The sequence below is a fragment of the Homo sapiens genome, chromosome 4 (genome assembly GCF_000001405.40).
Source record: "Homo sapiens chromosome 4, GRCh38.p14 Primary Assembly".
Classification (NCBI taxonomy): Eukaryota; Metazoa; Chordata; class Mammalia; order Primates; family Hominidae; genus Homo; species Homo sapiens.
In genome coordinates, this window is record NC_000004.12 from 83117442 (window position 1) to 83144292 (window position 26851).

Below are 26851 nucleotides of genomic sequence, written 5' to 3' on the forward strand. Positions count from 1 at the left end.
TCCAGGCCGGGCGCAGTGGCTCACGCCTGTAATCCCAGCACTTTGGGAAGCCGAGGTGGGCAGATCACAAAGTCAGGAGTTCGAGACCAGCCTGGCCAATATAGTGAAACCCCGTCTCTACTAAAAATACAAAAAAATTAGCCAGGCATGGTCGTGGGCACCTGTAGTCCCAGCTACTCGGGGAGCTGAGGCAGGAGACTTGCTTGAACCCGGAAGGTGGAGGTTGCAGTGAGTCGAGATTGCACCACTGCACTCCAGCCTGGGTGATAGAGCAAGACTCTGTCTCAAAAAAAAAAAAAAAAAAAAACACCACCCAGCCTTGACAAAGTTTTACAAACTGATAGTAGACTGGTTGATTTTTGGTGGCATTATAAATTGGTACTATCTTTTAGAAAGGCAATATTGGCCACATAGTATATAGAAGAACAAAAAAAATACTTACATTTTGGTCCTCCAGTTTCATCAAGAGTGAGTGCCTTCTTAAATTCTGTGCCCGTAGGGACCTTGTTTGCCTCACCCTGGTCCTGGTCCTGAATGAATGCATGAAGGAAAGAGGTCAAATTACATCAAGGCCATGTCCATCTTTACCATTATGTTACCCAGAATGGGGAATAATGGATCTTATATGTTCAGTCCATCTTTTTAAGGTATGCTGGGAGCAATTGGAGGGCAACACAAGGTGATATATTGCAGACAACTAGAAAACGTGAACAGAGCCACATGCAGTGGCTCATGCCTGTAATCCCAGCATTTTGGGAGGCCGAGGTGGGTGGATCACTTGAGCCCAGGAGTCTGAGACCAGCCTGGGCAAGATGGTGAGACCTGTTTCTACAAAAAATATAGTAGCTGAGCATGGTGGTGCACACTTGTGGTCCCAGCTACGTGGGAGGCTGAGGCAGGAGGATCACTTGAGCTCAGGAGCTCAAGGCTGCAGTGAGCTGTGTTTGTGCCACTGTGTTCAAGCCTGGGTGACACAGCAAGACGCTGTCTCAAAAAAAAAAAAAAAAGATCAAAGAAAATTTGTGAAGCCATACCAGCAGAAAGAAAATGAGGACAGAATACAATATAATAGGAATTAACTACTGGTAAGATTCCCTGTGGGTTGGGAAAGTAAATTATTTTTTTCTATATGAAGCTAACTTTGAAGGATAGATTTTGAACTGGTGATGATGCAGAGGTGGAATAGAATGAGCCAAGATGAAGAGGCAGGACTCAGCAGAAGAGACAGGTAACTACTTTGCTGACCCAAAATCTTGACTTATGCAGATAATGGGATAGACTTGAAATAGGGACCATTCTAGAAAAACTGCCAACTTTACATATCTTTGAATATGTAAATATTCAAATTAGGACCTCAAGGTTAGCATGTCCCCATTGAAACCTTCAGTTCTCATCCTCTGTCACACACACCTTCTAACCTTCTCCACCTCAGTAATTGGCACCACAATCTACTCAATGATTAAGCCAAAAGTCTAAAAGTCATCCCTCACTTCCCATCCATTCAACTGGCAAGAGCTGTTGGTTTTACCTCTGACATGTGTAACTAATCCATCTGCTTTTCTCCATCTCCACCGTCATCCTCTATAACTCTCATCTGGAGTGTTGCAAAAGCTTCCTTGTTTGTTTCCCTGCCTGCATTCCTGCCCTCCAATATAGCAGCCAGGATCATCTTTCAAATGTGTAAATCAAATTTGTAACTCCAACAAAACCACTCCAATTGCTTCCCCTTGCACTTGGAATAAAATCCAAATTCCATCATGGCCATTCTCCATTTGCACTGGCCTTCCTTCTGTTCCCGAAACAAAGCTCACTCTTCCTTAGGACCTTGCACTTCTGGTTTCCTCTGTCTAGAATGTTCTTATCTAGAACTCTTATCTATCTTATCTGAACTCTTGTTCAGGTCTCCACACCTTTCCTTCAGTCCTACTTGAAGTAGGTCCTCGTTACCCTTCATCACATAATTCTGGCTTTTTTTTTTTAGGCAGGGGCACTACTTAACTTCACTCTGTCACCTAGGCTGGAGTGCAGTGGTGCCATCATAGCTCTCTGCAGCTTCAACCTCCCAGGCTCAAGTGATCCTCCCACTTCAGCCTCCCGAGTAGCTGGGACCACACCACCACGCCTGGCTAATTTTTAAATTTATTTTAGAGATTGGAGTCTCCCTATGTTGCCTGGGCTAGTCTTGAACTCCTGGGCTCAAGCAGTTCCCTGCTTTGGCCTGCCAAAGTGCTGGGGTTAAGCCAGCACTTTAAGAGGATGTAATCCCAGCACTTTGGGAGGCTCAAGCAGGGGGATCATTTTCCTTCCCTTCCCTTTCCCTTTCCTTCCCTTTCCTTCTTCTTCTTCTTTTTTTTTTTTTTTTTTCTGAGACAGATTCTCACTCTGTTGCCTGGACTGGAGTGCAGTGGTGTGATCTTGGCTCACTGCAACCTCTGCCTCCTGGGTTCAAGTGATTCTCCTTCCTCAGCCTTCTGAGTAGCTGGACTACAGGCATGTGCCACCATGCCTGGCTAATTTTTTTCTGGTATTTTTTGGTAGAGATGGGGTTTCAACATGTTGGCCAGGCTGGTCTTGAACTCCAGACCTCAAGTGGTCCACACGCCTCAGCTTCCCAAAGTGCTGGGATTACTGGTGTGTGCCACTGCGCCTGACCTTATTTTCTTATTCATTTTATTTCTCTTCCACTTAGTAGACACTTCATATAATTTGCAAGGAAGATCTAACACATATTGCGAAGATTCACTTATATCCTTGCATGTAGGTATAGATCATTTTGTGCATTCTTTCTTTTTTTTTCTTTTGGAGACAGGGTCTCGCTCTATCACTTAGGCTGGACTGCAGCGGTGCACCACGACTCACTGCAGCCACAACCTCCTGGGCTCAAGTGATTCTCCTACCTTAACCTCTCAAGTAGCTGGGACTACAGGAATGCACCACCATGCCCAACTAATTTTTGTATTTTTTTTTTTACAGAGACAGCTTTCTCCATGTTGCCCAGGCTGGTGTGCATTCTTTGCTTCAGCCAGGAGAGCTCCCTTGGAACTGGGTGCTCCTGCTTGGGAAAAAGGTGGACAACAGGATGGCTGCCCTACTGAACTCCTGTGGTTCATAGACCATGATGTAGAGAAGGTTTCATACACCTCTTCTTGGCTCTCGCATATTGTTACAATCATTGTATTTAACCTAGAATTAAGTTGAGAGAACTGTATGGACCCATCATCCAACTTCAACAATTTTCAACTATGGTTAATATTATTCGGTCTATTGCCACACCAGATTATTAGTTCTTTCTCCCTGGATTATTTTGATGCAGTTTCTGGACATCATATTATTTCATCAGTTAATATTTTAGTATACATCTTTAGAAGATAAATATCACTAAGTATTTTAGTATGTATATCTAACAAAACCTCCATTTATAAAACTACAAACCAAATATATCAGACCTAGCCCCCCGAGTTTTTTATATTATCAACTATTCAGTGTTCAGATTTTCCTGATTGTCTCATAATATTAAACATTTGTTTTTGTTTGAATCAAGATCTAAATAAGGTGTATACATTGCCATTTGCTGACATATGTCTTAAGTCTTTTAAAATCTATAGGTGTCCTCTCCCTTTCCCTACTTCTTACAACCATCGGCCTCAACGCACACAATTTATATATGGAATAAACCTGGTTGTTTGTCTCCAGTGTTTCCTATGGTCTAGATTGGCAGATTTTACCCCCGTTATGTCATTTAACCCCTTCCTCTGTTCCCTTGTATTTCCTGTATAGTGGTAATTAGCCCTAGAAGCTTGATCAGATTCAGGTAAAATTTTTTTGGCAAGAATACTTCATAGGTATTACCATATACTGTCCTAAGAAGACACATATGTTTAGTTGATTTTCTTTTTCTAATGTTGGTTGATGATCATTGCTGGATCCATTCCTTCAGTAGAGGTTGCAAAATAGTCATATTCTAATTATATCGTGCTGAGATGGCCGTGAGAATATGCCTAGGAGACCTCCTACTGCATGGAGTGTAAGTGAAGTCAGGCCCCAGCTGCTATGCTTTGAAATACAGCGCTGCATTTGTACTGAGGCCATTCCTTCCAGCAATAACTGAGTGCAATGGGGATATTACGGTAGACCTGTTTCTGGGAGACATGGGATGCCTTTGTAAGTTAACTTTGGCTCGATGGCTTTGGCAAACCTCCTTATACTGCAGAGCAGTTTAGGATGCTTTAACCAGCCTTCTCTTCATCTTCACCCTTTTGCACCACAGTCTGACAGCCTTCCCAGCCTTCTCTTGCTCCTTCTCTATTTCCTTTTACACAATCATTTCCTCAAGTAAAATCCTTTTGCATTTCATCCAGTCTGGACATCTGCTTCTCAACGGACAAGAACTAACACATATTCCTTTTTCATTTATTAGCTGAAATGATTCTAAAAAAAAACAAAATTCTCCTCATCAACCATTTGGTTACCTTGAGGTATAATTCCTATAAAAAGGCAAATATATATTTTATTTATTCCCTTTATTCACCAGTTTTCAAAATAATGAGTTGTTTCCTAGCATTTTTCAAAAGTATCCAATGACGGAAAGTTTTTTTTAGCTTCATTATGAACTCATGAATTTAAACATATTTGGTGCATTTTGATCCGTTGCAGTTATATTGTTTTATTTTTTAAGATGAAGTCTCTCCTTGTCGCCCAGGCTGGAGTGCAATGGTGCGATCCTGGCTCACTGCAACCTCTGCCTCCTGGGTTCAAGCAATTCTCATGCCTCAGCCTCTGGAGTAGCTGGGATTACAGGCATGTGCCACCATGCCTGGCTAATTTTGGTATTTTTGTCAAGATGGGGTTTTACCATGTTGGCTGGGCTGGTCTTGAACTCCTGACCTTAAGTGATCTGCCCGCCTCGGCCTCCCAAAGTGCTGGGATAATGGTGAGCCACTGCAACCAGCCCATTGCAGTTATTCTTATTGATGCTAAAATTGTTCTTTTAAACCATATTGCTTGCTTTCTTGTACAACAAGATGTTCCCAGATCAATTTATATATTTTCTGACTCAGACCTGACATTGACAATTTTCCCAAGGAGTCTTGGCTTCTTTTAGTGGGAAATGTTAGTTAGAGACCATAATTTAGATACTAGAGGTGCTCATTGTCACTGGGCTTTTTCGGGGGTTAGAGCAAAGAAACAAATACACATTTTAAGAATAAAATACAAAGTGATTTCAAATTGATACTTTGCTCATTTTTTTTTGCTATACATTTTTAAAATTAAGGTTTTAGATAGTAAAAATGGTTAATCTTTTCTCTTATTTCTTTTGAAATGTGAGTTTTAGGAAAATTTACCTCACTTTTAGGTTATAAAGGTATTTACTCCTATTTTCTTCTAGATCTTATATTGTTTATTTACATTTAAATCTCTCATCTAATTTGAATTTATTCTCATGTACAATATGAGAAACAGATCCAATTTTATCTTTATCTTAAGAGTATACAGTTATAACAATGCTGCTTACCACAAAGTTCATATTTTCCTGACTTGTCACTTTTGTTATATACTAAACTGGAATGATTTTTTCAAATACCTTTGATTGCCATAAGGAAGGCACCAGCTACAGTTAGAATTAAGTAACCTCTGGGTTAGAAGGGATCTTCAGTGGTTTTTAATCTTGACTATATAACAAAATCACTTGGGATACTTATTAAAAGTATCTGGTGAGGGCTTGCATATTCTTGCTGTGTCCTCACATGGTGAAGGGGGCAAAAGGGATGAAAGCTGTGTCCTCACATGGCAGAAAAGGTGGGAGAGCCAGGCAGCCCTTATGACTCAATCACTTCCCCCAAAGCCCTACCACTTAATACCATCACAATAGGGATTAATTTTCAATGTGAATTTTACAAGGACACAAACATTCAAACCATAGCACATGTATTTATCAGACCTTTAGGCAGGAGGTGGCTTCAAGGGATTCTTGAATGGATTAAGGAAATGTATTTTTAATTAATTAATATGGCACTTATTTTCAACTGAAAAGTAGTAATACATATATTATGTACATAATGGAACCTCCATGTCTGCTTATTCTTAAGTGTTCATAGGGGTCTCTGTTCTCCTCAATACCAATAATGATAATTTGAGATCCCAAATGCAAGATGTCCAGCCATTGATTAAGCTCTCATTCATTCTGAAAGTATTTCTGAGAATCCTAGAAGAGTCCACACACCTGTTTTGGTGGTGGCTGGTCCCCTGTGCCAGCTCTTCAGCTCCAGATTGCTCCATGGCAATTTACAACCTATACACACCTGTTTAAAAAATGCTCAAACAAGCTCTTTAATAGTCAGAAATTTTACATTATTCCTGTTCCTTGCCAACTTCCATTTCACTTCTGATTTTCCCACAGAATATTATCCTAATATAGGTATTTTTATTTCTGAAAGCCTTTTATTTGATCACTCTGTCATAGTTCTCTGCAACAAAAGTAGGTATGTAAATTAAGCTCTTTTTATGATCATGCCGCTGCACTTGAGTCTGGGTGACACAGCAAGACCCCATCGCTAAAAAATAAAAATAAAATAAAAATCTAAATACCAAAAATTTATTCTGGTTTCAGTTATCATTACAATGATTGTTAATATCCCATTGGTCAAAACAACCTGTCTTACAATTGTTTATAAATAATTATTAAACACAAATCATTCATTTCTTTGAAAAGCCTGTTCACCCACATTATATATGGTTCTGGTGGTGTGGTGCAGCCCCAGGCAGGGTATGGGTCCCAGGTTGGTTACGCTTGTGAAAGATTATTGAGTAACATTTGTGAAAAGAGGAAGAAGAATTGGGCACCAGCTAACCACACTGCTTGCAGCTGGGCAGCCAGTCTTTTCTTGAGGAAAATCTGGGAGGTGCATTTCAATGCCAGCAGCAGTATTACCCAGGCTTAGCCCATCATAGAGCTCTATATCCTTGGAAACTGATTGGACCAAAAGATTGAGCGTGTGACCTTAGCAGGGCCAATTAAAATTCTTTCTGAAAAATGCTATAAAATACAAAACTTAGCCGGGTGTGGAGGCGGATGCCTGTAATCCCAGCTACTCGGGAGGCTGATGCAGGAGAATGGCATGAGCCCAGGAGGCAGAGCTTACAGTGAGCCGAGATCACGCCACTGCACTTCAGCCTGGGCCACAGAGCAAAACTCTGACTCAACAACAACAAAAAAAACAAACAAACGAAAAAAAGAAGTGGCTGGAAGGAAACTGCTCTCTCTTTTCTGTTGGAATTGTTTACTTGGATTGAGTGCATTGCCTTGCTGGTGGCCATCTTCCCCGGCTACGTGGAGGAAGTCTTACTATAGCAGGGGAGAATGATTCCAATGTGCAGGCAGAGGAGAGGAGAGGAGGGCAGGGGAGGGGAGGGGGCAGAGGGGAGGGGAGGGGTGTGGGGGGAGGAGGGGAGGGGAAGGGAGTTCAAGGCCCTGGCTTCTGGTAGCTCTCCCTTAGATTCTATGACCTGCCCCGCAAATCCTCACAGCTACACGAGCCAAAAATTACCAACTTCTACCTCCCCTGCGGTGGCCCTTTTTTACTTTGGTTAAATAAGGCCGGGCGCAGTGGCTCACATCTGTATTCCCAGCACTTTGGAAGGCGGAGGCAGGCGGATCACGAGGTCAAGAGATCGGCATCATCCTGGCCAACGTGGTGAAACCCCGTCTCTACTGAAAATACAAAAATTAGCTGGGCTTGGTGGCGCTTGCCTGTAGTCCCAGCTACTCGGGAGGCTGAGGCAGGAGAATCGCTTGAACCCGGGAGACGGAGGTTGCAGTGAGCCGAGATCGCGCCACTGCACTCCAGCCTGGGTGACAGAGCAAGACTCCATCTCAAAAAAAAAAAAAAAAAGTTCAAGTTGAATTTCATTCCCATCACTTTACAGCTGAAAAACTCTTGAGCAATAATATACTTAAAATTACACCGTCCTGGTTGGGCGCGCTGGCTCACGCCTGTAATCCCAGCACTTTGGGAGGCCAAGGCGGGCGGATCACGAGGTCAGGAGATCAAGACCATCCTGGCTAACACGGTGAAACCCTGTCTCTACTAAAAATACAAAAAAAAAAAAAAAAAAATTAGCCAGGTGTGGTGGCGGGAGCCTGTAGTTCCCAGCGCTACTTGGGAGGCTGAGGCAGGAGAATGATGTGGACCTGGAAGGCGAAGCTTGCAGTGTGCCGAGATCACACCACTGCACTCCAGCCTGGGCGACAGAGTGAGACTCCGTCTCAAAAAAAAAAAAAAAAAAAAAAAAATTATACTGTCCTAGCAATGGAAAGTTGCTCTTTAAGAGATCAGCAAACATTGTTTCTTATCTGATTTGAACTTGTGAGTAAGCAATAAAAACGTCATTGAGGAGCTGGGCGCGGTGGCTCACACCTGTAATTCCGGCACTTTGGGAGGCCGAGGTGGGCGGATCTCTTGAGGTCAGGAGTTTGACACCAGCCTGGCCAGCATGGAAACCCCGTTTCTACTAAAAATACAAAAATTAGCCTGGAGTGGTGGCACACTCATGTAATCCTAGCTACTTGGAAGGCTGAGGCAGGAGAATGGCTTGAACCCGGAAGCTGAGGTTGCAGTGAGATTGCCGCACTGCACTCCAGCCTGGGTAACAGAGCAAGATCCTGTTTCAAAAGAAAAAAAACAAAAAACACCTCATTGAGGGAAGATCGTTTTTTAGCATTCTACCCACAAGATCTTTGTGGTAACTGGCTATTGATTGAAGGATATATATGTTAGATATATGTTAGAAACATGAGATAATTTTTTAAGTTTGAAACAATTTTGGACAGAAAAGTTGCAAGAATAGGCTAAAGCTCCCATATGTCCTTCACCTAGCTTCCCCTAAAATTAACATCTCCTATAACCATAATACAATGATTAAAAATGGGAAATTAACATTGGTACAGTAATATACTAATGACTAATGACATTATTTGAATCTCAAGAGTTTTTCCATGAATGTTCTCTATTGGTTTGAGTATCTAATCCAGGATTCCACATTACATTTGTTGTCATCTCTCCTTAGTCTCCTCCATCTGGAGAAGTTCCTCAGTTTTTCCTTATCTTTCATGACTGACATATTTGAAGAATACTGGTCTGCTATTTTGTAGAATATATCTCAATTTGGGTTTCTCTGCCATTTTCTCAGTAATCATATCAGATCATATATGATGTCAATGTGTTTTATTACTGGTGATGTTAACCTTGATCACTTGGCTAAGGTGGGGTTTGTCTGTCTCCACTATAAAGTTACTATTTTCCCCTTTGTAATCAATAAACATCTTGGATGAGCTACTTGAAACTATGCAAATATCCTGTTTCTCCTGTCACTTTCACTTACTAATTTTAGTTTCCTTGGTAGATTTTGCTTGCAAAAGTAATTTTCTATTTCCTCATTTTTTGTTCATTCATTAATTAAAATTATTCTGCAAGGAAAAGTTCTTCCTTTTTTCCCATTTATTTACCCATTAGATTATTTATTTACTTATTTTATTCTCTGGATTATAATCTAATACTATCATTATTTATTTTATTGCTCAAAGTGTTCCCACTTTGGCTATTGAGAGGTCCTTTGGCTTGGCTCCTGTGTCCTTTTCACATGCTCTCATCCATTATGAGCACTTTCTTGCTCTCTGGCATCACAAGATACTCCAGGTTCATCTTGTATTTTCCCTTCCCCAGCCCTGGAATTAACCTCTTCCTCAAGGAGCCTTGGTTCTTTGTGCTGGAGAATGGTATTTAGAAACCAAGATTTAGTTGCTAGCTGGGCTCATTGCTGTTGGGTTATCAGTGCTTTTAGGCCACTTCAGTACAGCTAGGATAAGTATGTATATTTACATATATACGTGAATATGTATACATACATGCTGCATACATACATCTCTATCCTATCTATCCATCTATCTTCATCATCATCATCATTTTCTGTCCAATCTTAAAATGATTTCAGAATTGCTAATGCATACCTCTATGAGAAGCAAATTTACTAATTAGATTACAGAGTTTGTGTACAGTTCCTTTCATCTTTAGCCTCACAATATCCAGTCAAAATACTGTTTTCCAGGCTGGGCATGGTGGCTCACGACTGTAATCCCAGCACTTTGGGAGGCCGAGGTAGGCAGATCACGAGGTCAGGAGATCGAGACCAGCCTGGCCAACATGGTGAAATCCTGTCTCTACTAAAAATACAAAAATTAGCCAGTCATGATGGTGTGTGCCTGTAATCCCAACTACTCAGGAGGCTGAGGCAGGAGAATTTCTTGAACCCGGGAGGTGGAGGCTGCAGTGAGATGATATCATGCCATTGCGCTCCATCCTGGGCGACACTGCGAGACTCCGTCTCAAACCAAACAAAAAAATGACATGAAAATTGAAAAGGGAAGGCCGGGCGCGGTGGCTCACGCCTAATCCTAGCACTCTGGGAGGCTGAGGCGGGTGGATCATGAGGTCAGGAGATCAAGACCATCCTGGCTAACATGGTGAAACCCGTCTCTACTAAAAATACAACAAGTTAGCTAGGCGTGGTGGCGGGCGCCTGTAGTCCCAGCTACTCGGGAGGCTGAGGCAGGAGAATGGCATGAAGCTGGGAGGCGGAGCTTGCAGTGAGCCAAGATCGCACCACTGCACTCCAGCCTGAGTGACAGAGCGAGACTCTGTCTCAAAAAAAAAAAGAAAAAAGAAAAAAAGAAAATTGAAAAGGGAAAAAATTCACTCCATACTATTATCCATTCTAAATCTAAATTCCAAATCTAAATCCAAAGAAATCTAAATGTAAAGAAATTATGATATATTCTTTTTCTGTCATCACTAATCTGTGGTCTATATTTACATAAAGCACTTTTACACTGTCACAAAATCTGCCTTTTCTTACTCTAGGGTTGATGCCAATATGGCAAGTGGCTGCTATATTTATATGCTCTTTTGTACTTTCTCTCTCCTTGCTTCCTCCTTCCTTCCCCTTTCCCTTTCTCTTCCCTTCCCCTTCCCCTTCCCCTTCCCTGCCCCTTCCCCTTCCCTTCCCCTTTCCCGTTCCCTTTCTCTTTCCCTTTCCCTTTTCCTTTCATTTTTTGAGACAAGGTCTCACTCTGTTGCCCAGGCTGGAGTGCAGTGGCGCCATCATGGCTCACTGCAACCTTGACCTCCCAGGCTCAAGCAGTCCTTCCATCTTGGCCTCACAAAGTGCCGGGATTACAGGCATGAGCCGTTATGCCCAGTCTAAGACCATATCATTTACAACTCACTTGGTAAAGGAGAAGATATGTATTGCAATAGTAACGTCTGTGGAAACCTATTTCTGTGGTTAGATTCTGGTGCAATTCAAGCTCATGCCAGCAACCTGAGTCACTTTATGTCTGATGGAAGTATCTTCCCAGAAGGTTACAACTGAGAATATGGTTTTATGATTAGGAGTATGTGTTATGGAAGAAGTTATGACATTTGTTATAAAATTGTAGATATATCTACAATTGTAGATTAAATTGTAGATATATCTACAATTGTAGATTAAATTGTAGATAAACAATTTATCTACAATTTAAATTAAAATTGTAGATATATCTTTATTGTGGAGCCCCTAACTACAGATTAAATTCCTGACCACCTTCTGCAGCCAGATGGAAGACTTCATTTTGGTGATGGGGGACACTGTCTCCGTACTCAATAGCTGTGGAGTTGTAGATAGGCTGTGCTTTCTTCATGAAATCTGGGAACTCTTGTTAGGGAGAGGCTATGAAATAGAAACCCACTTAGGTACTCCCTCCCCGCTCCCACCTAAGCAAAACAAGATAGAAAGAAACAAAAGTCTAAGGGCAGAGATATAAATAGCCCTTATAAATGACTGGAACCAGGAACTGGAACAGGGTTGGGACTACCTGTGTTTGTTCTTTTTAATTGCTGACTGGCTTTTCTGAAATAGGGAGTAGTGTTAAGGCCCTGGGTAATCAGTCACTTAAAATGACAGGATTCCTATCTATAGGCTGGAGCAGAAACTGCAAAGATTCAGCCTGTGACAGCACGGGCTTGTCTGGCACTTGGGAAAAGTGTGATGCAGGTGCAGTTGCCCCAGAGTGTCCCTTGGTCCTTGTCCATTGGCTTAGTAGGAACCTGGGATCTTAGCTATGTGTTAATAACTTGACTGACATCATACCACTGATACTGTTGGACTCGGTTCTGTTATTGGACCCTGGACCCTCCAGAGATCTTGAACCTCCTCTTCAATATCAAGGAAGCCTCCTGATTCTTCTTACCTTCCTTCCCACCCCAACCAGGAAAGGAAACCAAGGTGTATATGAGAAAATGTAACTATGATGGAAGTTTCCAGAGGCTTTTGAAAACTTTAATTATTGTGCAAACCTGCCAATTCTTGACCAAGGGAAAAAAAAGAACAGTATACTCACGCCTGTAATCCCAGCACTTTGGGAGGCCGAGGCGGGCGGATCACGAGGTCAGGAGATCGAGACCATCCCGGCTAAAACGGTGAAACCCCGTCTCTACTAAAAATACAAAAAATTGGTCGGGCGTGGTGGCGGGCGCCTGTAGTCCCAGCTACTTGGGAGGCTGAGGCAGGAGAATGGCGTGAACCCGGGAGGCGGAGCTTGCAGTGAGCCGAGATCCCGCCACTGCACTCCAGCCTGGGTGACAGAGCGAGACTCCGTCTCAAAAAAAAAAAAAAAAAAAAAAAAAAAAAAAAAAAAAAAGAACAGTATAATTAAAACAACGAGAGACCAAGGCTTAAAGGCTCCCTACGGAAGCTAGTAATTTGATACACCTTAAAACTTAAAAATATTTGTTCAACATTCTAGCCTTTTCTCTACAATATCATGGAGAAATTTAATCTTTATTTAAAGTTGAAAACAAGGCCGGGCGCGGTGGCTCACACCTGTAATCCCAGCACTTTGGGTGGCTGCGGGCGGGCGGATCACAAGGTCAGGAGATCGAGACCATCCTGGCTAACACGGTGAAACCCCGTCTCTACTAAAAATACAAAAAAATTAGCCGGGTGTGGTGGCAGGCGTCTGTAGTCCCAGCTACTCAGAAGGCTGAGGCAGGAGAACCGCGTGAACCCGGGAGGCGGAGCTTGCAGTGAGCCGAGATTGCGCCACTGTACTCTAGTCTGGGCGACAGAGTGAGACTCCATCTCAAAAAAAAAAAAAAAAAAAAAAAAAAAAAGTTGAAAACAATTTAGGATACGAATGATGGTAAATTATAGTAACTACTTAAAAACTTAAAAATTGCAAGATTTAGGCCAGGTGTTGTGGCTAACGCCTGTAATCCCAACATTTTGGGAGGCCTAGGTGGGAGGATTGCTTGAGTTCAGGAGTTTAAGACCAGCCTGGGCAACATAGGGACACCTCATATCTACAAATAATAATAATAATAAATTAGCCAGGCATAGTGGTGCACGCCTGTGATCCTAGCTACTCAGGAGGCTAAGGTAGGAGGATCACCTGAGCCCAGGAGGCAGAGGTTGCAGTGAGCTAAAATCATGCTACTGCACTCCAGTCTGGAAGACAGAGCAAGACCATATCTCAGAAAAAAAAAGTTTTCATTTTTCTTTAAAGTAGTACATATAAATGATTAAATATTTTCAAATAATAAAGAAGGATTTATAATGAAAAGCAGCAGTCTCCTCCCCTACTTTTCCATGGTCTCAATCCTGCTACATAGAGGGAACTACTTTTAATTCTTTTAATTGTTTCTGTTTCTTTTTTTAGTTTTTCTGGGATTTATCTTCATGTCTCTGAATAACATATTATACTCTTATGTCTTGGTTAATAATTTTAGATGTTAACTATGACTTTCTGCATGATAGAGGAAGATTAAGCTCATTTACAGAGTCACCCTTCTCCCCCCCAATAAAACTACAGCACTATTTTTAATTCCTACTTTAATTCCCTTATAGCTTCATTTTATTTTATTATTTATTTATTTTTGAGATGGAATCTCGCTTTGTCACCCAGGCTGGAGTGCAGTGGCGCAATCTCGGCTCACTGCAACCTCTACCTCCTGAGTTCAAGCAATTCTCCTGCCTCAGCCTCCTGAGTAGCTGGGACTACAGGCGTGCGCCACCACACCTGGCTAGTTTTTGTATTTTTAGTAGAGACGGGGTTTCACCATGTTAGCCAGGCTGGTCTCAGACTCCTGACCTCAAGTGATCTGCCCACCTCGGCCTCCCAAAGTGCTGGGATTGCAGACGTGAGTCACTGCACTCCACCCAATTCCCTTATAACTTTAAATACCTGACTGGACCTTTATCCTTGGCTTCTTCTACTTTAGACAGTATCCCTTGGCTTCCCATTTTAGGAGGTGAGCAGTGTCCTTACCTTCCCTTCCTTCTCTTACCCTCATTTCTACTGCCCAACTTCTGTCATCTGTGTTTTTGATATTTTATATTATATATTCAAAGCTTTTATATATTTTCAAAGTTGATAAAACTTTACATCTCATTCTGTAACCATAATTAAGTCATTTGTACTTTGCCTCATGGCTGAATTTAGTTTAAAAAGCAATAGTAACATTATTGTGACTATGTGACTATTGCTAAGGGCAGACCCAAGCTTCATTTCCCATCATCTATTTGATAAATACTTATGTAGCCTTTATTAATTGTGGGACACTCTTCTAATTACTCTGTTAACTAACTCAATCTTCAACAATAGCCCTGTGAGGAAGCATTAACCTTGGGCAAGTTGCTTCACAGCTCATAAAATAAGATTAATAATAAATAACAATAAAGTTAACTGATGAGGTCAGGACATTTTTTTTCTTCTGAAGTTTCAGATCCTTTTTCTTTGTTTCCTTACCTTACCTATCTTAATCATTTCCTCAATGCTAGTTGCAAATCTTTGGAATTGTTTTCCCTGCGTAGCTTCTCCCTGAAACCTCTACCCTCTTGCTCCAATTTGGATGGATTCTTCTCTAGACTTGCTGTGCTTCTGTCCATCTGAAACTTTTCTTTATTGTTTCCTGGGGTTATATAGATTTCTAGACATCCTCTTTCATTGGCTTATTCTCTCATTTGGCTGGGTGACATATGAATGTGACCTCCTAAGATGGGGTGGGAGTGAGAAGTACATTTTCTGAGTCCTTCTGTGTCTGAACATATTTCTATTTTTCCATTTCATTTTATGGTTTGATTACATTTAAAATTCTGTGTTTTGAAAATTTCCTATCTGTGGGGTGAACTAGAAGTGGGGACTCAATCAAGTCTAAAGAAGTCAAGAAAGAAGAGGGGAAAGACAGAGAAATAGAAAAAGAAATAAATAGAAAGCACAAAATAAGATGGCAGATTTTTCTCCCCAAACGTAACAGCAAGCACATTAAATACCTCAGTTAAAACACAAAAATTGCCATATCAGATTTTAAAAGTGAACAAATACATCTAGCTGTATGTTCTTATCAAGATTTGCCCCAGCATACTACATAGAACCTTAGTAGGTCAAAAGATGGATAATGGTCTACCAGGGAATGAACTGAAAGTAAGTTGCTGTGGCTATATTAATATCAGACAAATAATATTATATTGTAGTGAAAGTGAATGAACTTTAGCTTTCCGGATCAATATGGGTGAGCTCAAAAATGTAACAATGAGTGGAAAAAAGCAAGTCAGAGGAAAACATATGGTATTTGATGATGTTTATAGAAATTCCATATAATGAATACATGTTATATGATAACATATACTTTTAAATCAAAAGTATGTTGGTCAGCAATACCTGCATATGTGGTGAAACTGTAAGGAAAATCAAGGAAATTGTAGTGCAAAATTCAGATTGCCTCTGAAAGAGAGGATGGGATCAGGGCAGGGCGCTCCAGGGTGTCATCGGTACTGGTGTTACCAGTGGAGGGTGTCCAGGTTCTTGGATCCTAAACAAAGAATTGGACAAAATGCACACACAAGGCAAGGAAAGAATGAAGAAATTTATTGAAAATGAAAGTACACTCCATAGTGTGGGAGCGGTCCTGAGCATAGAGGCTCAAGGGCCCCATTACAGAATTTTTGGGAGTTTAAATACCATCTAGAGGATTCCATTGGTTGCTTGGTGTACGCTCTATGTAAATGAAGAGATTGAAGGAAAGTTACAAAGTCGTTTACTTGGTCTATGCCCTATGGAGAGGACATTTCCTGTCATAGTGAAGCAGCACCGTTGTCTGGGGTAAATACCTGGGATTCGTCATCTCGCCCGTAGAAGATTAACAACACAGACACACACACGGAATGTGCTAAGGAGTGGAAAGTTTAATAGGCAGAAGAAAGGATAGAGGAGAGCAGCCCCCTCTCTCTCGTGAGAGAGGTGTCCGAAAAGGGAAAAGTGGCGCACTGCAGCAGATTTTTTTTTTTTTTGAGACAGAGTCTCTCTCTGTCACCCAGGTTGGAGTGAAATGGCATGATCTCAGCTCACTGCAACCTCCTCCTCCCAGGTTCAAGCAATTCTCCTGCCTCAGCCTCCTGAGTAGCTAGGATTATAGGCACCCGCCTCCAGGCCTGGCTAATTTTTTGTATTTTTAGTACAGATGAGGTTTCACCATGTTGGCCAGGCTGGTCTTGAACTCCTGACCTCAGGTGATCCACCTGCCTCAGCCTCCCAAAATTACAAGTGTGAGCTACTGTGCCTGGCCATGATATTCTTAATATGACACAGCCAAGGTTTTTCCCCCTAGTCGCTTGTTCTAACTCTTGGAAAACAGATGACAAAATGTTCTTATATCAACCCTCTTGCCCCTGAGCCACTGATTGGGCTTAGTTTTGAAAGTTTTCATATGTTTTCACTGGCATTTCCCAGCACTAAAAACCCTGGTACCTAGAACTAGAGTGTTGTAAGCATAGTTTTTTTATTTTCTTCTTAGTCCTGGGGTCTAAGGACTATGACCTGTTGCAGTTTACCTTCACCTTGATTCAGAAGTTGATACAATCCCTGTATGGTGGAGGACCCCCCACTCCTCTTTCTCTGTTTGTTATTCAGTTCTGCCCACTTGTATTAGTCTGTTTTCATGCTGCTGATAAAGACATACCTAAGACTGGGCAATTTACAAAAGAAAGAGGTTTATTGGACTTACAGTTCCATGTGGCTGGGGAAGCCTCACAATCATGGCAGAAGGTGAAAGGCATGTCTCACATGGAGGCAGACAACAGAAGAGAACTTGTGCAGGGAAACTCCTGTTTTTAAAACCATCAGATCTTGTGAGACTCATTCACTATCATGAGGACTGTGCAGGAAAGACCCATCCCCATAATTCAATCACCTCCCACTGGGTTCCTCCCATGACATGTGGGGATTGTGGGAGTTATAATTCAACGTGAGATTTGGCTGGGGACGGAGCCAAACCATATCATGTTGCTCCTGGCCCTCCAAAATCTCATGTCCTCACATTTCAAAACCAATCGTGCCTTCCTAACAGTCCCCCCAAAGTCTTAACTCATTTCACCATTAACTCAAAAGCCCACAGTCCAACATCTCATCTGAAACAAAGCAAATCCCTTCTGCCTATGAGCTGGAAAGATTGTAAAATAAAAAGCAAATTAGTTACTTCCTAGATACGATGGGAGTACAGGCATTGGGTAAATACAGCCATTGCAAATGGGAGAAATTGGCCAAAACAAAGGGGCTACCGGGGCCATACAAGTCCGAAATCCAGCAGGGCAGGCAAACCTTAAAGCTCCAAAATGATCTCCTTTGACTTCATGTCTCATATCCAGGTCACACTGATGCAAGACGGGGGTTCCCATGGTCTTGGGCAGTTCAGCCCCTGTTACAGCCTCCCTCCTAGATGCTTTCGCCTCCCTCCCAGATGCTTTCACGGGCTGGTGTTGAGTGTTTGCAGCTTTTCCAAGTGGACAGTGTAAGCTGTCAGTGGATCTACCATTCTGGGCTCCGGAGGATGGTGGCCCTCTTCTCACAGCTTCACTAGGCAGTGTCCAAGTAGGGACTCTGTGTGGGAGCTCCAATCCCACATTTCCCTTCCACACTAGCAGAAGGGTTCTCCACAAGAGCCCTGCCCTTGCAGCAGACCTCTGCTTGGACATCCAGGCATTTCCATACATCTTCTGAAATCTAGGTGGAGGTTCCCAAACCTCAATTCTTGACATCTGTGTACTCACAGACTCAACACCACGTGGAAGCTGCCAAAGCTTGAGGCTTGCACCCTCTGAAGCCACGGCCTGAGCTCTGTGTTGGCCCCTTTTAGCCATGGCTGGAGCAGCTGGGCCTCAGGGCACCAAGTCCCTAGGCTGCACACAGCATGGGGACCCTGGGCCCAGCCCATGAAACTGCTTTTTCCTCCTAGGCCTCTGGGCCTGTGATGGGAGGGGCTGCCGTGAAAACCTCTGACATGACCTGGAGACATTTTCCCTGTTGTCTTGGGTATTAACATCCGACGCCTCATTACTTATGCAAATTTCTGCAGCTGGCTTGAATTTCTCCTCAGAAAAAGGGTTTTTCTTTTCTATTGCATTGTCAGGCTGCAAATTTTCCAAACTTTTATGCTCTGTTTCCCTTATAAAACTAAATGCCTTTAACAGCACCCAAGTCACCTCTTGAATGCTTTGCTGCTTAGAAATTTCTTCCGCTAGATACCCTAAATCATCTCTCTCAAGTTCAAAATTCCACAAATCTCTAGGGCAGGGGCAAAATGCCACCAGTCTCTTTGCTAAAACATAAGAAGAGTCACCTTTGCTCCAGTTCCCAACAAGTTCCTCATCTCCATCTGAGACCATCTCAGCCTGGACTTTATTGTTCATATCACTATTGGCATTTTTGTCAAAGCCATTCAACAAATCTCTAGGAAGTTCCAAAATTTCCCACATTTTCTTGTCTTCTTCTGAGCCCTCCAAACTGTTCCAACCTCTGCCTGTTACCCCATTCCAAAGTTGCTTCCACATTTTCAGGTATCTTTTCAGCAACACCTGACTCTACTGGTACCAATTTACTGTATTAGTTCATTTTCAAGCTGCTGATAAAGACATACCCGAGACTGGGCAATTTACAAAGAAAGAAGTTTAATGGAGAACTCACAGTTCCACGTTGCTCAGGAAGCTTCACAATTATGGTGGAAGGCAAGTCATATCTTATGTGGATGGCAGCAGGCAAAGGGAGGACTTGTGCAGAGAAACTCCCATTTTTAAAACCATCAGATCTTGGGGGACTCATTCACTATCACAAGAACAGTGCAGGAAAGACCTGTCCCCAAAATTCAATCACCTCCCACTGGGTTCCTCGCATGACACGTGGGAACTGTGAGAGTTAAACTCAAGATGAGATTTGGGTGGGGACACAGCCAAACCATATCACCACTTCTCCAGGCCCTTCACACTCTGGGTCCCCAGAATCTACAACCATCATGAAATGGTTTTAACAAGATGAGATCAGTAAACACAAAACTACCAACTAATGCCCAACCCAGCTCTCCTACCCAAGGACAGGATACTTTTCCTCTCTATGTAGATCCATATGCCTTGACTCATATGCTGCCAAACTTTCTCACCTTCCACAGCTGTGGTGCTGCCCGGTCATGCTGTATCCCATGGTTTTGAGTCCTTCCCTCACCAAGACCCTGTCTCTAGACCCAGGCCTCTGTTTCCTGATACAGACAGAAGTAAATGGATTGTCTGGATTTTCAGATCTGGATAAAGCTAGACCCTAAAAAGTAAATGTCAGGAGAAAACAACAGGAACAAAAAGAGTTATTTTTGGTAAGAGAGAAATGAAAAAATGAGGCAAATCAGAATTTCTGCTAAACAGTGGACAATTACTTCCCACAGGTGTCAGAGAACAGGACATATCTACAGAGGACACACATACATATAAATTTAGTCATTTCCCCTTAGTTTATAGTGATAAACATTTTGTATTCAAATGACAAATTAGTACTTTCATGGTGAATTTACTTTTTGTTAAGTGTTTCAGAGTTGTAATATCTAGTCTTTAAAGTTCTGATTGCTTCGTTTTTCCTCAAATGGATGTTTTTACTTCCTGCCATTCTTTTATTTATTTATTTTTTTGAGATGGAGTCTTGCTCTGTTGCCCAGGCTGGAGTGCAGTGGCATGATCTCGGCTCACTGCAAGCTCCGCCTCCCAGGTTCACGCCATTCTGTTGCCTCAGCCTCCCGAGTAGTTGGGACTACAGGCACCCACAACCACGCCCGGCTAATTTTTTCTGTTTTTATTAGAGATGGGGTTTCACTGTGTTAGCCAGGATGGTCTCGATCTCCTGACCTTGTGATCCGCCCACTTTGGCCTCCCGAAGTGCTGGGATTACAGGTGTGAGCCACCGCACCCATCCACTTTCTACCATTCTTAAACAAAAATTCCATATGTTCTCATCTATTAAAGTCCTGAAATTGAAACTAAGAAGAGTAATCAGGCAGAAAAACCCCAAATTCTCAGAAATAAAAATGAAGTGAGAGAGTGAGAGAGAGGAAGGGAAGGAGGAGAGGAAATGATATAGGAGGAGGAGAAAGCTTGAGTGCAACACATAACTCAGAGTTTGCTTGGGGACATGTTGAGTTTGAGACGCCCATGAGACACCCAAGTAGAGACATTTAGCTGAAATTTGAACACAGGAGCTCAGAATGGTCTGGGATGGAGATATACATTTCGAAATCATCAGCATCCAGCTGACAGTTAAAACTGTAAGAGGATGAGATTGCTCAGGAGCAGTGTGAGAGTGTGGAGAGCAGGGGCCATGGTCAGAGCCGAGGGTGGCCCCATAGGCAGGGGCTGGCAAAGGCAGAAGAGCCTGGAGAGGAATTCACGCCTCACCAATCCCCTTGCCAGTGTGTGAAGTCAAGCATATTGCTTGGCCTTTCTCAGCTGCAGATTCCTCACCACTAAAGTGGAGATAAGGGCTGGTGCAATGGCTCACACCTGTAATCTTAACACTTTTGGAGGCCAAGGTAGGAGGATCACTTGAGGCCAGGAGTTTCAGACCAGCCTGGGCAACGTGGCAAGATTCCCTCTGCACAAAAAAATACTTTTTATTTAATTAGCCAGGCATGGTGACATGCACCTGTAGTCCCAGCTACTTGGGAGGCTGAGGCAGAAGAATTGCTTGAGCCCAGGAGTTTGAGGCTGCAGTAAACTATGCACCCCAGCCTGGGTGACAGAGCAAGACCTTGTCTCTTAAAAAAAAAAAGTGGAAATACGGCCTTCCTACTATTTCCTAGATTTTGTTAAAAGAGATGATATACTGGTGTAGGAACAGGGTTTGTTAAATGCAAAGTGTAATCCACTAAGCATCAGTAATCTCTTGGGCCTAAAAGCTCACCTGAGTTTGGTCACAAACACTGTGAACAGGGAAAAGACCTGTACTCCATAATGCCAGTTCTTATAGCACAGCTTTACAAAGAGCTTCAATGAGCATTGAACTTCTCATTTGTCAAGAGGGAAAAGAAGACAATAATAGCAAAGCCACATATGTAATCTGAGATCTGCTTATCATTTGGAAGAAAAGCAAGCAAAAAACAGTATTTTCAGGAAGCAGCAAAGCCTGGCAGCATGGTGGACTTTGTCTGCAAAATAATTTGTCAGGTTATATCCTTTTGTTTGTTTCAAGAATTTTGACCCAGTGATAGTAGAGAAAGAAATTAAACTGTGAAACATGTCAGAGTGAGGGCTGAATATTTGCATCTGGAGGAGAATCGTGACTGCCTCTTCCCTTACAAAGCCACAGCCCACAGAGAGGGCCTGGCAGCAGAATGACAGGGTTTAGGGGCCGTGTTCATAGACAGTGGGTGACCATGTGATTTCAGCAGAAACACCAAGCAGTGAGGTGCCTGCCTTCAAAGCCACACGGCACATAGTATGAGCTTAAGAATGAGCAAGGACATTTACAAATAAGTCGTTCAATGGCATGTCCTTGTTTTCAGAAATAAGCCTCCCTACAGCACTGTTTAGTGGAGAAAAATAAAAGCCAGCACCCAGGAACCCCATACTTCCCTTAAAGCATTTCTTCCCTCTTCTGTCCTCTCCCAGGTTCAGGACCTCCAGAATTCCTCCTCCTTTTGTAATCACCCATCAGGTTCTTCTTGCCTACTGCACAGATAAAACCAATGCACTGAGACACCACTATTGCAGTAGAGAAAGAGTCTAATTAACACATGGCTAGCCAAGCAACCAATGAGAGTTTATTACTCAAATCAGCCTCCCCAAGAGCTTAGAGGCAAGGGTTTTAATGTATAATTTGTCAGGTAGGGAGCTAGGGAATGGGTGCTGCTGACTGGTTGAGGATGGAATCATAGGGATGTGGAAAACAGTCCTCATGTGTTAAGTCTGCCTTTGGGTGGAGGCCACAGTACTAGCTGAGTCATGAGTCATGGGTCCAGGTGGGGTCAGCCAGTGATGTTATCCGTAGGAGCAATTTGGGCAGCCACAAGTCTTGTGAACTCTGGCTTCATGACTTCCGAGCAGTAAGGGATTATAGAAAAACAAGGGCTGGTTATTCTTTAACCATGCCTACGTTTTAGCAAAATTCAAGTCCCTCCCATAATTCTAATCTTGTGGCTTTTCATTAGTCTTACAAAGGTGGTCTTAGTCCCTGAGAAAGGAGGGGGCTAGTTTTAGGGAGAGACTGTTATCCTTGCTTCAAAGTTAAACTATAAACTAAATTCCTCCTGTGGTTAGCTTGGTGTATGCCAGGGAATGAGTGAGGACAGTCACCTAGTGAGACTAGAAGCAAGATGCAGTCAGCCATGCTAGACTTCTCTCGCTGTCATAATCTTTGCAAAGGCAGTTTTAGTCTTTTCCTCCTCCTCATGGCATCTCATGAAAAACATCTCCCTGCTGTACTCCTTCCCCTGCTCACCAAGCTCCCACACCACCAGCAGGGGACAGACTTCTAGATTATTAAACAGTATATTTAATATTCTAATCTGATGTAATTGCCTTTGGACAACTTCATAAAGTCCAGAAAGTTCCCAAAGATAGGAAGTGGGGGACAGAGACTGATCTTACATTTGTATGACCAAAAATGTCTCATTGTTCATCTTTTTGTTTTTATTGATTGAAACGGAACAGAGCAGATGTGTTAATCTGAGATGCTGAGGCTGATGGATCTCCAGTTTTAAATTTGAAGAACAGAAACCAATACCCTTTCCCCTAAATGATTATTCTTTTATGCTCCTTTATCCTCTGTTTTACCCCCAATCTGCTGTCTTTCAGGAGACAGTGTTTATCAGGTCTTTTCAGTCTGGCCTGTAGACTCAGGAATGGCTGCTGGAGGAGAGAGCTTATGGTTTTGTTTGTTCAGGCTGAGACACAACTGTTAATAATTGTCATCTAAAACCAAGTTAGAGGCCAGGCACGGTGGCTCACGCCTGTAATCCCAGCACTTTGGGAGGCCAACGGGAGCAGATCACTTGAGGTCAGGAATTGGAAACCAGCCTGGACAGCATGGCAAAACCCCATCTCTACTAAAAATACAAAAATGAGACTGGGCACAGTGGCTCACGCCTGTTGGGGGGCCTAGGCAGGTGGATCACGAGGTCAAGAGATGGAGACCATCTGGGCCAACATGGTGAAACCCTGTCTACTAAAAATACAAAAAATTAGCTGGGTGTGGGGGCGGGCACTTATAGTCCCAGCTACTGGGGAGGATGAGGCAGGAGAATCACTTGAACCTGGCAGGCGGAGGTTGCAGTGAGCCGAGATTGCACCACCGCACTCCAGCCTGGCGACAGAGCAAGGCTCAATTAAAAAAAAAAAAAAAAAAGATACAAAAATGAACCGGGTATGGTGACGCGTGCCTGTAATCCCAGCTACTCGGAAGACTGAGACAGAAGAATCACTTGAACCTGGGAGAGGATGTTGCAGTGAGCCGAGATTGCACCACTGCCCTCCAGCCTGGGCAACAGCGTGAGACTCCATCTCAAAAAATAAAATAAGGCCGGGCGCTGTGGCTCACGCCTGTAATCCCAGCACTTTGGGAGGCCGAGGCAGGCGGATCACGAGGTCAGGAGATCGAGACCATCCTGGCTAACACGGTGAAACCCTATCTGTACTAAAAAACACAAAAAATTAGCCGGGCGTGGTGGCGGGCGCCTGTAGTCCCAGCTACTCAGGAGGCTGAGGCAGGAGAATGGCATGAACCCGGGATGTGGAGCTTGCAGTGAGTTGAGACCGTGCCGCTGCACTCCAGCCTGGGGGACAGAGCGAGACTCCATCTCAAAAAATAAATAAATAAAATAAAATAAAATAAAATAAAACCAAGTTAGTTATCTGCTCCCGTGAACTCTAAACTTTCATTCAGATTGAAGATATGCTTTTAAAACATCAGGTGATTAGTTCAAAACAAGACAGCTTTTTTGAAAAACTGAAAACAAAATTCTTTTTTCCCAGAAAAGAAGAATCTTCTACAGGAATTCCCAATTTTCACTCAGAGAAAAAGATATAAATTTCTAGCAGTAAACAGATAGGCATTTTCTTTTCTTTTTTTTGAGATGAGTCTCACTCTGTCACCAGGCTGGAGTACAGTGGCACCATCTCAGCTCACTGCAAGCTCCGCCTCCCGGGTTCACGCTATTCTCCTGCCTCAGCCTCCTGAGTAGCTGGGACTACAGGCGCCCGCCACCACACCCCGCTAATTTTTTGTATTTTTATTAGAGACGGGGTTTCACCGTGTTAGCCAGGATGGTCTCGATCTCCTGACCTCGTGATCTGCCCGCCTCGGCCTTCCAAAAGTGCTGGGATTACAGGTGTGAGCCGCTGTGCCCAGCCAACAGGTAGCCATTTTCTTAAAATGTCTCCAGCCTTCAAGAGTACATGAGTCCAAACTCTGAGACGCGCAATCAAGAAAAGCTTTATGCAAATGAGTTAGATTAGGGGATAGGAAGAAATTCAGGATTACTTCTTGTTTTCTAGCTTCAGCAGCCAGGTGGAGGGTGGAGCCAGAAAACAAAATGGGGAAGATCAGATCTGGGTGGAAGAATAGGTGTTGAGAAAATCTAAAGCTGTTTTTCAACTTGTTAAGTGTGAGGTGCCTAAAACCTCCAGGAGAAAATGTAGAGAAAACAGATGCCAAGAGTTCATCAGTTGGCCGGGTGCAGTGGCTCATGCCTATAATCACACTTTGGGAGGTTGAGGCGGGAGATTCACTTGAGCCCAGGAGTTGAAGACTAGCCTGAGCAACATGGTAACACTCCATCTTTACAAAAAATACAAAAGTTAGCCAGGCATGGTGTTGCATGTCTCTGGTCCCAGATACTTGGGAGGCTGAGGTGGGAGGATCACTTGAGCCCAGGATTCAGAGGTTGCAATGAGCCAAGGTCATGCTACTGTACTCCAGCCTGGGCAACAGAGCAAGACCCTGTCTCAAAAAAAGAAAAAAGAGTTTTTCAGTCAAAGGAGAGATTGGGAGTGAAAATACAGATTTAGGGTTCATTGGCACAAAAATGGTGCTTGAATTCATGGTAATGAATGAGATCAACAAGGAAGTGTAGAGGAAGACAAGAAAAGAGTTTTAGAAAAAATCAACCCGTAGTGATATAGTGTGACCTCACCCTCATACTATTCTCTAAATTAAGAGGCAAAGCTGTAAAGTCACCAACTCCTTGTCAAGGCAATCCCCCAGGAGTTGGGACATGGAAGTATTTTCTTCCTGTTACATATAGAAATGACAGGAACACTAGTTCAACATTCAAGAACAATTTTATCCCATGACTGTTCACAAATAACACCTTAGCATATCATGAATGAGGCTACACGTTCATGTAAACCAAGCTTAGTTAGTACTCCCATCAAGATCACTATTATAAGAATTGCCATTCTTGGCCTTTTCTAAATCCTGTGGGCAAATGTATTCCTTGTGTTCTACCAGCTTCAAATTCTGAGCCCCACTAAGGACTAGAAGAACTCATTTATTCATTTGTTCATTGACAAATGTTTATTAAGTGTCTACTATATGCCTTGGGGAACCAGCAGTGAACTAGCCAACACACTACGTTGGAGGTGAAATTGGTTTCTGTTTTAAAATAAGGAAAAAGTGTTACCTCAAGCAACATATATATATGCTGGGACTACAGGCACCTGCCACCACGCCTGGCTACTTTTTTTATATTTTTAGTAGAGACTTGGTTTCACCATGTTCGCCAGGATGGTCTCAATCTCCTGACTTTGTGATCCGCCCACCTTGGCCTGCCAAAGTGCTGGGATTACAGGTGTGAGCCACTGCGCCCGGCCTCCTATGCCTACATTTTAACAGAATTCAGGCCCCTCCCTCAATCCTAATTTCGTAGCCTTTCACTAATTTCACAGAGGACACCCAGCTTGTGTCCACTGCATAACTGATTGTTTGCTTGGTGGTGGGAAGAAACCCACCCTCTGACATTTGGTCACAGAAGTCTTCTGGGTTGATGATTGTCGGGTTGAATGAGAGAATAGTAAAAATGGTTTGAGAGTTTTCTCTAACACCACAACTCCGTTAAAGAATTTTTTTTGTTTTTTGTTTTTTTTTTTTGTTTTTTTGTTTTTTTGTTTTGAGACAGAGCCTTGCTCTGTCTCCCAGGCTGGAATGTAGTGGCGTGATTTCAGCTCACTGTAGCCTCTGCCTCCTGGGTTCAAGCAATTCTCCTGCCTCAGCCTCCCGAGTAGCTGGGATTACGGGTGCCCACCACCACACCTGGCTAATTTTTCTATTTTTAGTAGAGATGGGGTTTCACCATATTGGCCAGGATGGTCTTGAACTCCTGACCTCAAGTGATCTGCTCACCTTGGACTCCCAAAGCGCTGGGATTACTGGTGTGAGGCACCGCACCCAGCCTGCTAAAGAAATTTAATATTGCCAGTGATACAGGAGTTAAGAAGAAATTACTTAGGCAGATAGTGA

General features: G+C 42.9%; 1 long non-coding RNA gene across 1 annotated transcript in view, besides 2 other annotated features; it reads right to left on the reverse strand.

Moving 5' to 3' along the window:
• Positions 4025–4219: a silencer, noted in NCBI's record as "fragment chr4:84042619-84042813 (GRCh37/hg19 assembly coordinates)". NCBI's record gives its function as "represses an EF-1alpha promoter that drives an FKBP-Casp9 reporter gene in an ReSE screen in HepG2 liver carcinoma cells {active_cell/tissue: HepG2}" and the evidence as "EXISTENCE:reporter gene assay evidence [ECO:0000049][PMID:32094911]".
• The window catches only part of LOC124900167 (uncharacterized), a 61114-nt gene continuing 56280 nt past the window's right edge, over positions 22018–26851 (reverse strand). The window contains exon 5 of the long non-coding RNA XR_007058167.1: positions 22018–22065. This is a non-coding gene — a long non-coding RNA (uncharacterized LOC124900167). The remainder of the gene's footprint in view (positions 22066–26851) is intronic.
• Positions 22235–22529: an enhancer, noted in NCBI's record as "tiled region #10366; HepG2 Activating DNase matched - State 5:Enh, and K562 Activating DNase unmatched - State 9:DNaseU". NCBI's record gives its function as "activates a minimal TATA promoter and a strong SV40 promoter by Sharpr-MPRA in HepG2 and K562 cells {active_cell/tissue: HepG2 | K562}" and the evidence as "EXISTENCE:reporter gene assay evidence [ECO:0000049][PMID:27701403]".